This window comes from Homo sapiens, chromosome 14 (assembly GCF_000001405.40).
Source record: "Homo sapiens chromosome 14, GRCh38.p14 Primary Assembly".
Lineage (NCBI taxonomy): Eukaryota > Metazoa > Chordata > Mammalia > Primates > Hominidae > Homo > Homo sapiens.
This window is the reverse complement of record NC_000014.9, coordinates 72,350,437-72,364,923: the sequence shown is the minus strand read 5'-3', so window position 1 is coordinate 72,364,923 and position 14,487 is coordinate 72,350,437. Positions and strand designations below refer to the sequence as shown.

Here is a 14,487-nt window from a genome sequence, read left to right as displayed (position 1 = left end):
TGAGAAAGTGGTGACAAGCAGCTTCCCAGAGCTTCTGAGAGTGACAGAGTCTTGGATGCACTGGGACATGCTCATGCATTCCTCATCAATATCATCTTTGGAAAGAAGCTTTCACCAGCAGACTGTCATCATCGTGCCATTGGTCTCCATCTTCTTGCCTTCTTCCATTGAAATCACTTGCTGTTTATTTAGCAAAGTCACATGTAGGTATGGACAGTACGTTATGTAGCAGTGCAAGAAATAAAGACACTGCTGATTAACCAGCCTTATAATGTCCATTATTCTTTCATCTTTACTTTCAATTTTTATTAAAGAACTGGGGTCCCAATAGAGAAGAGAAAAAGTTATTCCCCCAGCTGTTGCTGTTGAAATGGAAGCTCCAATGTTGGAGTATCTGCTGGTATCTGCTGGTTTGTGATGGGAAACTGGCTATTTCTCAAATGGCTAGAAAGTCTGATGGAGGCTGCTGAGCTGGTGGAAAGGCTGAAGTGTGGGCTGATTACTGTCCCATGTAGATACAGCTTCTCTTGCCACAGTAACAGGGTGGCCATGTATTAATGCGTTTCAACTTTAAGTTTGGTACCCATGGGTCTCAGTGACCTGGGTTTTTTCTCTATGTAATTCTCTACTCTAGTGCCAGCAACTAGAGGTAAGCATGAGATTTGTCTTCTGTCCTGGGGCTTGACTGGTCTTAGGAACCACCTCAACACCAGCCTGAGCTGTGCTGGCCAAGTGCAGGATCTGATATTGCTAAACAATAGACACTAGCTAGTGATTGGTCTGTGCAGTAGTTAAGTAGGTGAGAGTGTTGGCAAAATGTATTCTAACTAGATAGAAAAGTCTGCTGATGTTACCAGTTTCTGAGCCCATTGAGAACTCCATCATATAAATATAGAGTTTTTTTTTTTTTTTTTTTTTTTTTTTAGCCTTGTCCACTGACAAGTGATGGTTAGATTGTTTCAGGGCTATTGTCAGTTACCACTCATCCATTTGTTTTTCAGATTCTTGAGTTTTGTGGCTATTGTCTCCTGTGTTGGAAGACTATTCTCCATGAGTCTTTCACACATCTGCACATCTTGAGAGTGAGGCACTGACTGCCCTTTGTACTGGACTATCTTTTCAAGATTTTTAAGGATGTTTATTTCCCATGGTAGATCACTGTAATAGAGGCCTCCAACTTTTAGATCATGCTTTTAAAATAAAAATCTTTTACTATAATTTTTGTGGGGTTTCAGAAGAGAAAAAGTTAAATGAATGTATTCAATCCATGATATTAAGGTGTATCCATTTTGGATGAGTTACCCTCTGCTCTATTTCAAGTCAGCAGGTTGTGTCAATCATACCTTCTACTGTTTCCTCTGATCTTTTGAACCCTACTGCTACCATCCTTACACGGGTGGCCCAGAGGAACAGATCCTGCTATTTACTAGTGGTGTGACCTTGGAAAAGTTACTCTTGAATTAGCAGTTTCCTCCATTACTTGGTAGAGATAATAACGGTTTCTATCTCATGGGGTTTTTATAAGTATTTAATGATGCGTGGCTGTACAGCCATGGTTTCAGTTGATGCTGTGGTTGTCGTTAATATGGCCTTATTTCTCACATACATTCCCTCATCTAGACTCCATAACTAGTCTCCACACTCCTCATTTCTTCCTGCTTAAACTTCCATCCACTTCATGGATGTGAATTCCCTCATATTTAAAACCTCTGACGGCAGTCCATCTGAGCAGGGTAGATGGGTTACCTTTGAGATAAAAGCAGCCCCACCTTTGGAACAAAGTCTACAAGTCAGCTTTCCTTTATAATATATTATTAGGTGTAATTCTTGTATCCTTTTCATTCCTGTGGCTGTTCTGCCAATATGCTCCTCTTCTCAAATACATACACACATAAATGTGTTTTAAACTCCAACCACACAAACAAGCTTATACTTACTGAAACCTGGCATGTTTGTCATGTATTTGAGGCTATGAAAATTCTATTTTCTCTACGTGGAATGACTTTTCCTGGGTTTCCACTTATGTTTAAGGTCCGGTTCTCAATTATTGTCTGTGGTAGATTGTTATGGTAATGCCCTCCAATGAATCGTGTCTCCCAATGTCAACATGATGTTGCCACTCCTACACCAGGAGGTGGAGTTGGTTTCTCCATCCTCTTCAATCCAGACTTTGCCTTGTAATTTGCCTTGAAGAACGTGACGTGGCACACTTGACATTGTATGAGTTCTGGAGCCTAGGCCCTAAGAGGTCTTGCAGTTTTTATCCTGTCCTGCTTGGAACCCTAAGACCAAGAGGCTGTGAAGAAGCCCAATCTAACCTATTGGCAGATACAAGGTGACATGGAGAAGAACTGAGACCCCAGTTAAGAGTTTAAGAGTAAGCACCAAGGCCAAACAAATGAGTGAGGCCACTGTAGACCCTCCAGCCTCAGTTGAGCCATCAGATGACTATGGCCTCATGGCTGAGACCAGCAGAACTGCCCAGATTGCCGGTTCATGGAATCATAATCATAAGAAACAATAAATCACTGTAGTTGTAAGCAATTATAGTTTGTGGGTTTGTTATACAGAAATAGATAACTGATATACCTTCTCAGAGAAATATTCTAGACATACCCAATAAAAATTCATGATTCTCTCTCCTGGACTCAAACAGCATTTTGTCCATTCTTCTATTATGGCACATAGCTCATATAAATCATTGATCTACCTGTGTCTGTTTCTCTCACTAGATTAATAGCTTTTTAAGAGCAGGGGTCAAGTCTTTGTTCATCTTTATATCGTCTGTGACTACTCTAGAGCCTGGCACATAGCAACAGCAGGCATTTATTACTCAAGTCATAAACTCACCATCTCCTCCTGAAACCCTTCCACTTGCCCTCTTGGACTCATGATGAATCATAAATAAAATCAGTTAATATTCCTTTCATCTTCTCATTCTTCCCCAGTGGTCCTGCTTCCCTGCAGCCCTCTTACGTGGTGGCTATTTTCCCTCCCACACTTTATATACCATGGGGTTTACAGGTAGATAAGTGACTGTCCTGCTACTAACTGCTGCTTTCAGATCACCTTCATCCCCTCCCTCTTCTCTAAAACACACTCAGCTTTGACTCCCATACCATCTGATTAAACCACCTGTACCTCTTATTGTGAAAGTCATCTGCTGATCCCTGGTCCTTTGCTTCTCATTCCATAAAGATTTTAACTCACAACCACCTTCTCTAACACTCCCCCAGTAGTGATTTCAATATTCACACAGCTCAGTCTTCCAGTATCATGGCCTCTCAGTTCCTTAACCTCCTCTCCTCCAAAAATCTTACACTTTATCCCATTTCAATGCCTTGTTCCTATGGTTATATCTTATATTATTGTCCCTGCCAATAATCACAATCTTTCCAGAATCTCAATTTCAAACATGCCACCATCTAATCACCATCTACTATATTTTCAGCTCTCTTACTCTTGCCTCTGAAAACTCCAAAATTTCTTTGCCACTTGACTTACAATTTGTGGTAATTACTACTCTTCATGGTTCCTCATCCATCTCATGTTCTTGTTTTCATCCTTACTCAATTAAATGTAATGGGCAATCATTTTAGTTACTGTGCCTCTGTCTTGATCTATTATAACCTCAAACTTGCTATAACATCAATTAAGTCCACTTTCTACCTGAGGCATGCCCAAATCCACAGAGCTAAATGTGGATGGGGAAAAAAATTACCTGTCTTTAAATTCAAAAATATTAATCATCCTAAGAAGGTCACTGTATTAGTACATTCTCACACTGCTATAAGGATATACCCAAGACTGGGTAATTTATGAAAAAAAAAAAAAAAAAAAGAGGTTTGATTGAATCACAGTTCCGTATGGCTAGGGAGACCTCAGGAAACTTACAATCATGGCGAAAAGGGAAGCACGCATGTCTTAAATGGCAGCAGGCAAGAGAGTCTGTGAAGAAGAAACTGTCAAACACTTATAAAAACCATCAGACCTCGTGAGAGCTTGCTCACTATCATGAGAATAGCATGGAGGAAACCACCCCCACGATCCAATCACCTCTTACCAGGTATCTCCCTCGACATGTGCGGATTATGGGGATTACAATTTGAGATGAAATCAGAGTGGGGACACAGAGCCAAACCATATCAGTCACAATCAAAGTTCTATTTCCCTAGTCCAGTCAATCTCTACTTTCCTAGTTGACTAATTTATAACTTATGATCTCTCCTTGAACTTGCAAAATCTCTACCATTTTTGGTTTCCAGATTACTAGGAACATAGAGACAATGAGAAGATCTATAAGCTTCCACCACCTCCCATCACATCTGCCCACTTATTTGTACCTCTGTGCATCTATTATGCCTCCTTTCTTCCTTTTTTGTTTTGTTTTGTTTGTTTGTTTGAGACAGAGTCTCACTCTGTCACCCAGGCTGGAGTGCAGTGGCGTGATCTTGGCTCACTGCAAGCTCTGCCTCCTGGGTTCATGCCATTCTCCTGCCTCAGCCTCCCGAGTAGCTGGGACTACAGGTGCCCGCCACCACACCCAGCTAATTTTTTTGTATTTTTAGTAGAGACGGGGTTTCACCGTGTTAGCCAGGATGGTCTTGATTTCCTGACCTTGTGATCTGCCTACCTCAGCCTCCCAAAGTGCTGGGATTAGAGGCCTGAGCCACTGTGCCCGGCTGCCTCCTTTCTTCTTTCTATGAATAAATTGTATGTGTTTCTAGCTGAAACTACTCACCAATATGCATGTTAAATTCAATCCTCTCTTACCTATTCTTTGATATAACTCCTTGAAGTTTTCCCATTCTCCTACATCATCTCCCCCACCCCCACTGAGTCATTTCTATAATACAAACATATTATCTTTTTATTAAATTAAAAATCTACCTGTTCTGACCTAACGTACCCCTCTAGATATGACTGCATTTCTTCATTTTACAAGGGAAACTCCTTCCAAGATTAACTGTCTTAGCACCTCGAATCACTCTCCTCATCTCAGGTTGGACACACCCAATAAGGATTTTTGCTCCCAATGTTTCACAGAATGTGCACTTACCAAGGTCAGCAATGAATTCAGCATTGCTAAAGGCAATGATCAATTCTCAGCCCTTAGCTTCTCAGCATAGCTATAGTAGGTCACTCTACTCTTCCTTAAAACACTTTCTAGAAAAATTGGTGTCCAAGAAATTATATCCTCTTGATTTTTCCTCCTTGTCTCCAGCCACTTGTTCTATTTCTTTTGCTGTTTTCTTATTCTCTCCCTCACATCTATAGATTGGAGTACCCTGTGTTTTAGGAATTGGACTGTGTGTTCTATCTACACTCACTCCCTTGGTGACCTCATTATTCCTATGGCTCTAAATACTGTCTACATGCTGATGGCTTATGAACCCAGCACAGACACTCCCTTAAAATCCAAATCCACATACTGGAATACTTACTTGTCATCTCCAACTGAATGTCTAATAGGTCGCTAAAACTTGACCTAAAATTTGTGTTTTGATTTCTTACCCTTCAGCTAACAACTGCCCCCCACCCCAACCCCTGGCACCCCTATTATAGTATTCCTCATTGAAATTAATAGCAACTCCATTTTTCCAGTTGCTGAAGCCAAAAAGTGTGGATCATGGCTAATTCCTTTTTTTCCTCTCACATTCCATATCTGATCTATCCGCTAATAATATCTGTTCTACTCTATTAGTCGGTTCTCATGCTGCTAATAAAGACATACATGAAACTGGGAAATAAAGAAAAGAGGTTTAATTGACAGACAGTACAGCATGGCTGGAAAGGCCTCAGTAAACTTACAATCATGGCAGAAAGGAAAGCAAACACATCCTTCTTCACATGGCAGCAGCAAGGAGATGTGAAGAGTGAGGTAGAGGAAAAGCCCGTTATAAAACTATCAGATCTCATGAGAACTCACTCACTATCATGAGGAAAGCATGGAGGTAACCAACCCATGATTCAATTACCTCCCACTGCATCCTTCCCAAGACTCATGGGGACTATGGGAATTACAAATCAAGATGAGATTTGGGTGGGGACATGTCCAAACCATATCATTCTACCCCAGCCCCTCCCAAATCTCATATCCTCACATTTCAAAACACAATGATGCCTTCCCAACAGTCCCCCAAAATCTTAATTCATTCCAGCATTAACCCAAAAGTCCAAGTCCAAAATCTCATCTGAGACTAAGCAAGTCCCTTCCACCTATGAGCCTGTAAAATCAAAAGCAAGCTAGTTACTTCCTAAATGCAATGTGGGTACAGGCACTGGGTAAATATACCTGTTCTAAATGGGAGAAATTCACCAAAACAAAGGGGCTACAGGCCCCATGCAAGTCTGAAATCCAATAGGTAACTAATTAAATCTTAAAGTTATGAAATAATCTCCTTTTACTTCATGTCTCACACCCATGTTATGCTGATGCAAGAGGTGGGCTCCCACTATCTTGGGCAGCTCTGACCCGGTAGCTTTGCAGGGTACAGCCTCCTTCCTGGCTGCTTGCACAGCTGGTGTTTAGTGTCTGCAGCTTTTCCAGTTGCACAGTGCAAGCTGGGGGTGGACCTACCATTCTGGAGTCTGGAGGACAGTGGCCCTCTTCTTACAGCTCCTCTAGGCAGTGCCCCAGTGGGGACTCTGTGTGGGGACTCCAACCCCACATTTCCCTTCTGCACTGTTCTAGCAGAGGCTCTCCATGAGGGCTCTGCCCCTGCAGCACACCTCTGCCTGGACATCCAGGTGTTTCTATATATCCTTTGAAATCAAGATGGAGGTTCCCAAACCTCAGTTCTTGTCTTCTGCACACCCAGAAGACAAACACCATGTGGAAGCTGCCAAGGCTGGAGGCTTGCACCCTCTGAAGCCATGGCCCGAGCTGTACCTTGACCCCTTTTAACTATAGCTGGAGCAGCTGGGACACAGGGCATTAAGTCCCTAGGCTGCACACAGCAGTGGGGCCCTGGACCTAAGAGGAAAAATAAACATTTTTTCCTCTTAGGTCTCTGGGCCTGTGGTGGGAGGTGCTGCCTTGAAGGTCTGTGACATGCCCTGGAGACATTTTCCCCACTGTCTTGGCAATTAACATTTGGTTCCTCCTTACTTATGCAAATTTCTGCAGCCAGCTTGAATTTCTCCCCAGAAAATGTGTTTTTCTTTTCTACTGGTTCGTCAGGCTGCAAATTTTCCAAACTTTTATGCTCTCTTGTGTCCAGAGATGTCAAATGTCACCTCTTGAACACTCTGCACTTAGAAATGTTTTTCTGCCAGATATCCTAAATCATCTCTCTCAAGTTCAAAGTTTCACAAATCTCTAGGGCAGGGCCAAAATGCCACCTGACTTTGCTACAGCATAACGAGGGTTATCTTTGCTCCAGTTCCTAACAAGTTTCTCATCTCCATCTGAGACTACCTCAGCCTGGACTTTATTGTCCATATCACTATCAGTATTTTGGTCAAAGTCATTCAACAGGTCTCTAGGAAGTTCTAAACTTTCCCACATCTTCCTGTCTTCTAAGCCCTCCAAGTCTCTAGGAAGTTCCAAACTTTCCCCCATATTCTTGTCTTCTTCTGAGCCCTTCAAACTGTTCCTTCCTCTGCCTGTCACCCATGTTCCAAAGTCACTTCCATATTTTCTATTTTTTTTTTTTTTCTGAGACAGGGTCTCACAGACTGGAATGCAGTGGTGTGATCTCAGCTCACCACAACCTCTGCTGCCTGGGCTCAAGTGATTCTCCTGCCTCAGCCTCCCAAGTAGCTGGGATTACAGGTGCGTGCCACTACCACTGAGCTAATTTTTGTACTTTTAGTAGAGACAGGGCTTCACCATGTTGGCCAGGCTGGTCTTGAACTCCCGACCTCAAATGATCCACCTGCCATGGCCTCCCAAAGTGCTGGGATTACAGGCATGAGCCACCGCGCCTGGCTGCTTCCACATTTTCAAGTATCTTTACAGCAGTGCCCCACTACCTAGTAACAATTTACGGTATTAGTCCATTCTCATGCTGCTAATAAAGACATACCCAAGATTGGGTAATTTATAAAGGACATATGTTTAATTGACTCACAGTTCAGCACGGCTGAGGAAACTTACAATCATGGCAGAAAGTGAAGCAAATACATTGTCTTCACATGGAAGCAGCAAGGAGAAGTGCAGAGCAAAGACAGGGAAAAGCCCCTTATGAAATCATCAGATCTCATTAGAACTCACTCACCATCATGAGAACAGCATAGAGGTAACTGCCCCCATGATTCAATTACCTCCCACCAGGTCCCTTCCATGATATGTGGGAATTATGGGAACTATTATACAATTCAAGATGAGATTTGGGTGGGGACTTGGCCAAACCATATCATCTACCTTCAGACTTGAATCCGAATCTGACTACTTCACACATCTCCAGTGCTGATAGCTTAGTGTATTAGTCCATTTTCACACTGTTATAAAGAATGATCTGAGACTGGGTAATTTATAAAGGAAAGAAGCTTAATTGACTCACAGTTAATTACATGGCTGCGGAGGCCTCAGGAAACTTACAATCCTGGCAGAAGGTAAAGGGGAAAAAAGGCATGTCTTACATAGCGGCAGGAGAGAGAGAGAGCAGGGGGAAGTGCCACACTTTTAAACCATCAGATCTTGTGAGAACTCACTCGCTATTATGAGAACAGCACGGGAGAACCTTCCCCATGAGCTAATCACCTACCACCAGGTCCCTCCCTTGCCATGTGGGGATTATAATTTGAGATGCGATTTGGGTAGGGACACAGAGTGAAACCATATCACCTAGTCTGAGGCACCATTTTAATAATAGCCTCCTATCTGGCACCTAACCCCTCAATCCCCCAGGGAATTCTGAATATAATAGAGTGATCTCATTGAAAGGTAAGTCAGAGCATGTCAGGCCATGTGCAAAATCCTGCAGTGATAAGAGGCTAAGTGATCAAGCTCACCATTCTCACGTGGCTTCATCCCCACTCTCCTTATTTTCTTGACTCTATTATAGCTGCCCTGGCTCCTCCTCACAGATCCTCAATGTTCCAGGAACTCTCTTGCCTTGGGCACTGAGCTCTGGCTGTCTGGCATGCTCTCTCCCTCAATATCCATATGATTCAATCCCTCATCTCCTTTCCGTCTTTACTCAAATGTCATCTTCTCGAGGAGCTCTTTCTTGAGCACCTATTCCAAAGCTGCAACACTCCAACACTTCCCATCCTTTTGTGTATTTTATTTTTCTCCTTGGCCTTTATCACAATCTAAAATTCTGCAAGTTTTCCTTACTTATTTCCTCCTCTACTAGAATATAAATTCCATGAGGGTAGAACTTTTTATCTGTTTCATTTACTTCTGAATCTCAAGTCCTTAACAATGCTTAGAAAATAGTGAACACTCAATAAATATCTAAATGAATAAATTTAAAAAAATGAATGACCAAGTATATTGTAAAAAGAACCAGAGTACTTTGGGAGGCCAAGGTGGGCGGATCACCTAAGGTCAAGAGTTCGAGACCAGCCTGGGCAACATGGTGAAACCCTGTCTCTACTAAAAATACAAAAAATTAGCCAGGTGTGGTGGCGGATGCCTGTAATCCCAGCTACTCAGGAGGCTGAGACAGGAGAATCGCTTGAACCCAGGAGGTGGGGGTTTCAGTGAGCTGAGATCATGCCACTGCACTCCAGCCTGGGTGACAAGAGCAAGACTCTGTCTAAAAAAAAAAAAAGAACCAGAGGAAATTTTAAAAATAAAAAATAATTGAAATTACATACTTAAAACCTGGATTAAAGGGACAATTATTTTTCAAAGAAAAGCAGGATATCAAGAAAAGAGAGATACTTCATGGCTCATTTATGAGGCTAGCATAAATTTGATACCCAAACCAGCAACAATGGTAAGAAAAACAACAGATCAGTGTGGCCTGTGAAATAGATACAAACATCTTAAACATTATTGAACAAAATCCAGGAATGTGAAAAATAATATAGTAAAATTACATACATAGTCTATATTATACTGTATATTATACATGAATAATATATATAGTAAAATTTCATTTACATAAATTTTAAAATTAGAGAACACTAACAATACAAGTATCCTTCATTACCCAAATCTATCTGGGCTCTATTTTGGACTGAACGTGTCTCCTCCAAATTCATATATTGAAATCTAATCCCCAACATGATGGCATTAGGAGTCCTTTGGGGGAGTTTATGAAGGAGGGCCCCTCACAAATGGAATTATTACCCTTTACAGAGAGGCCAGAGAGCTATTTAGCTTACTTTTTTTTTTGAGATGGAGTCTCACTCTGTTGCCCATGCTGGAGTGCAGTGGCGTGACCTCTGCTCACTGCAACCTCCACAGTTCAAGTGATTTTCCTGCCTCAGCCTCCCAAGTAGCTGGGACTACAAGCACGTGCCACCACACCCAGCTATTTTTTTTTTTTTTTTGTATTTTTAGTAGAGACAGGGTTTTGCCATGTTGGCCAGGCTGCTCTCAAACTCCTGACCTCAGGTGATCCACCCACCTCAGCCTCCCAAAGTGCTGGGATTATAGGCATGAGTCACGGCACCCGGCCCCCTATCTAGCTTTCTTTCCACCAAACAAGGATACAAGAAGAAGTCAGCAGTCTACAACCTGGAATGGGCTCTTACCAGAACCTATGATGGTACCTGATCTCAGACTTCCAGCCTCCAGAACTGTGAGACATGAATTTCTGTTCTTTATAAGCCACCCAGTGTAGGGTGCTTTGTTCTAGCAGCCTGAGCTGAGTAAGACAGTACCTGAGTTCAAAGAGTGACAGTCTCAATAATGAGCTGGGATACTTACTTCAACTGGGTCTACTTATTTTTTAGGTTAATATACAGTAATATTGACCCTGTGTGTGCGTGTGTGTGTGTGCTGTTCCATGAATTCTGTTGTTGTTGTTGTTGTTGCTGAGACAGAGTCTCGCTCTGTTACCCAGGCTGGAGTGCAGTGGCACGATCTCAGCTCACTGCAACCTCTACCTCCCAGGTTCAAGTGATTCTCCTGCCTCAGTCTCCCAAGTAGCTGGGACTACAGGCACGCACCACTACGCCCGGCTAATTTTTGTATTTTTTAGTAAAGATGGGGTTTTGCCATGTTGGCCAAGGTGGTCTCAACCCCCTGACCTCAGGTGATCCCCCTACCTCAGCCTCCTAAAGTGCTGGGATTACAGGCATGAGCCATCATGCCTGGCCTGTTCCATGAATTTTGGCCTATGTATAGAGTCATGTTACCATCACCATAATCAGTATACAGAACTGTTCATCTGTTCATCATCATCATCTCATAAAACTCCCTCCTGTTGTCTTTTGCAGTCACACTCGCCCTGCAAATGCCAGTTGCTGGAAACCACTGATCTAATCTTTATCACTACGGTTTTGTGATGTATACAATGCTGTATACCTGAAATCACATAGCATGTAACCTTTGAGACTGCTTCTTTCACTCAGAAAAATGACCTAGAGATTAATCCAAGTTGCTACCAGTATCAATAGTTCCCTGGTTTTTGTTGCTGATTGTGGAGAGACTACAGTTTGTTTATCCATTTACCCGTTCACTGAAGGACATTTGGGTTGTTTCCAGTCTTTGGAGATGATGAATAAAGTTGCTATATTCTTCAGTATACTTCAATAAAAGTTGCTATAAACCCTTACATACAAGTTTTTGTATAAACACAAGTTTTCATTGCTCTTGGGTGAATACCCAGGAGTGGGATTGCTGGTTCATATGGTAAGCATTGCTTAACTGTGTAAGAAACTGCCAAACTAGTTCCCAAAGTAGCTGCACAATTTTCCATTCGTATCACCAATATGTGAGAGTTCCAGTTGCTTCACATGCTCACCACCACTTGGTACTGTCAATATTTTTATTTTTAGCCATTCTAAAAGGTATATAGTGAAAACTAAGTCCTTTGGTTCCCGAATTTTGAAAAGCATATAGGCAGATTAAGAGAATCATCTAAAATTTTATCTTAATTTATTTGGTTACTTGTTTGGATAGCAAAAGATACATACCTAGGTAGTAAAACTATGAAGAAAAACAATGAATTGATTAGTATACAAGCAGATAGTGTTTAGGGAAGTGGATGCAATACAGTAGGTACCCAAGGGGGCTCTAAGATATTGATAATAATGTTCTTTATAAGGCAGGATGGTAGGTACATGTACTGTGTTTTATTATTTTTGAACTACCCATGTGTTTTAATATATTTCACAATAAAATATTTTAAAAGAAAGATGAGCACACAAAGCACAATATAAGGAATGAAGAAAAATAGTTTAAAACCTCTCTTTCAGGAGGTCAAGTACACTGAGTTAAAAAACTGAAAATAAAAGCATTTTGTAGAATTTGAATATAACACTTTCTTAAAAACCTGTTTAATTTCTTTAATATTTCTGTGCTTGTGTGTATCCCACAGGCAAAGTTGCTGATGCGCCACTTTATTAATGGGTTTATTTATTCCCAGCAGCCTCAATCTACATGCACTTGAAGGGCTGGTCATGGTAAGGTCATTCTTAATGATGGGCAACAAGTAGCTTCTTCCTGGAAACTAAGACTAGGATGGGACCTGAGTCAAGAAACACACTGAATGTTTCATTTTTACTATTCACAGATCTTCAGACACCCCTCAGGCCGCAATCTAGACTTATAACTCTTTGGTAGTTCTGACTGTTACCAACACCTTGCAAGGAGGGTGTTACCTGTGACGACACTGGGGATTTTGGAGAGAAAGCTCTTGACTGTTCTGATGGGCACACCCCCTGTCTTGTCATCTTGCATCTTTGTAATGATGTCTTCAATCTGAAAGAGGTTAAAGAAAAGAAGTGTTATTTTCTCCCATAATGTAATTATAAATGGTACCTTTTTAAACAGCCCAAATGTATAAACATGGATGTCAACAATAGATATCACAAAAAGCTCCCATCTAGTTGGTCAATAAATACAGCATCAGTATCTGCTATCTACCAAGTGCTGGGTATAGGGAGGTCTGAAGGTTATATACAGAGCATAAGTCATGTCCTGGAACAAGATCCCAGTTCAACAAGGTATGGAGGAAGAAATACATTAGGATTCTTGATGGGATCCAACATGTAATTTAATAGGTATGTGATCACAGTCTCCTTCTTTTCCAAATTGGGTTTACATATAGGTTGAACCATATGAAATTTCTATATTCAACCCCCACCCCTTCCACAAAGGCAATTTCTTATGGTTCAATATAATATGTTAACATAGATTAACATGCTGCTATTGGGAATTGCAGACAGGGCTACCTTTGGGACTAGAGAAGGATACATCTAGAGTAACATGAGAGAAAAACCAGATATGGAAAGCTCTGATCTGAAGAAGTTGGAAAACAGGTCTCAGTGGTCATGAGTGGTGGTATGTGGATAGCTATTTTAGCCTGGACTAAGGTGGTCAAGGACAGGAACTTCTCCTTTTGGTAAGACCATGCTATCAGGAAAAAAGATCATAGTGGACTGTTGACATCCTACTGGTGAAAACAGAACAGAGAATGGGGATGGACTGATGAGGGTGTAGGTGCCTAAACCGGAAAACCAATTTGTAGTTAATAATTTACGAGCCAGAGTAATTTCCTGAGCAGAAATCTTCAGAACAGGATACAGAAAGAATTCTGTAATAAGGATACATCTTTTTGTTTGGGGAAGGGAGAGCAACTGAAGGGGAGAAAATAATGTTTAGTATTATCACGTTTTATTTTCCTAACCAATAGAAATATCTTTGAAACACCAGGATGGAGTCTCTGAGTGAGTTCTTAATAGAGGCTCACATCATAAGGCTAGAAATTAGTCTTACAGCTCACTTATTCTAACATACTATGATTGCAACTTGATGATAAGTGATTTTCTTGAAGACACATGACTAATAACTTGTTTGATAGAAATAGATAACTTGTTAGAGGCAAAGTTAGAGCACGGCATAACATCATCATCATCATCATAAATAGCTAAAATATATTAAAAATTTATTATGTGCTAGGTACTATTCTAAGTATTATACACACATTATCCTGTTTAGTCCTCATAATTACTTGATGAAATAGATTCTACTATTATCTCCATTTTTTCACATAAAGAAACAAAGATATAGTGAGGTGCATCAATCAGGGTAGGGTGGATTAAGTTATGGCAGCAAATAACCCCCCAAATGTCAGTGGCTTAGCACAAAGGTTATTTCTCTGTCATGCTACATGTCTAGTGTAGGTCAACAAGGGAACCCTACTCATTGGAGTTACATCACCTTGCATGTTGCTGGTCAATGTGCCAGGGGGACAAGAGAGAATTCTGGAGAGTTTCTCACTGGGTATTAAATAGTGTAATCCAGAAGTTACATAGAGCATGTTTGCTCACAATCCTTGGCCAGAACTGGTCACATAGCACCACCCAACCACAAAGGAGCCAGGGACTCAGTCCTCTGGGTGACAGGAGGAAAGGGGA

The 14,487-nt window shown here is 41.3% G+C and overlaps 1 protein-coding gene across 51 annotated transcripts in view; it reads right to left on the bottom strand.

Annotated features, from left to right (window-relative positions):
- Positions 1–14,487, bottom strand: part of RGS6 (regulator of G protein signaling 6) — a 762,695-nt gene that overhangs the window by 265,106 nt on the left and 483,102 nt on the right. For all 51 annotated transcript variants that reach the window (NR_135235.2, XM_024449761.2, NM_001370270.1 and 48 more), the window contains one exon: positions 12,730–12,829. Coding sequence is in view for 50 of the 51 variants with exons in the window: in XM_024449761.2 (XP_024305529.1) it covers positions 12,730–12,829 (100 nt within the window). In the remaining variant the exon portion in view is untranslated. The remainder of the gene's footprint in view (positions 1–12,729; positions 12,830–14,487) is intronic.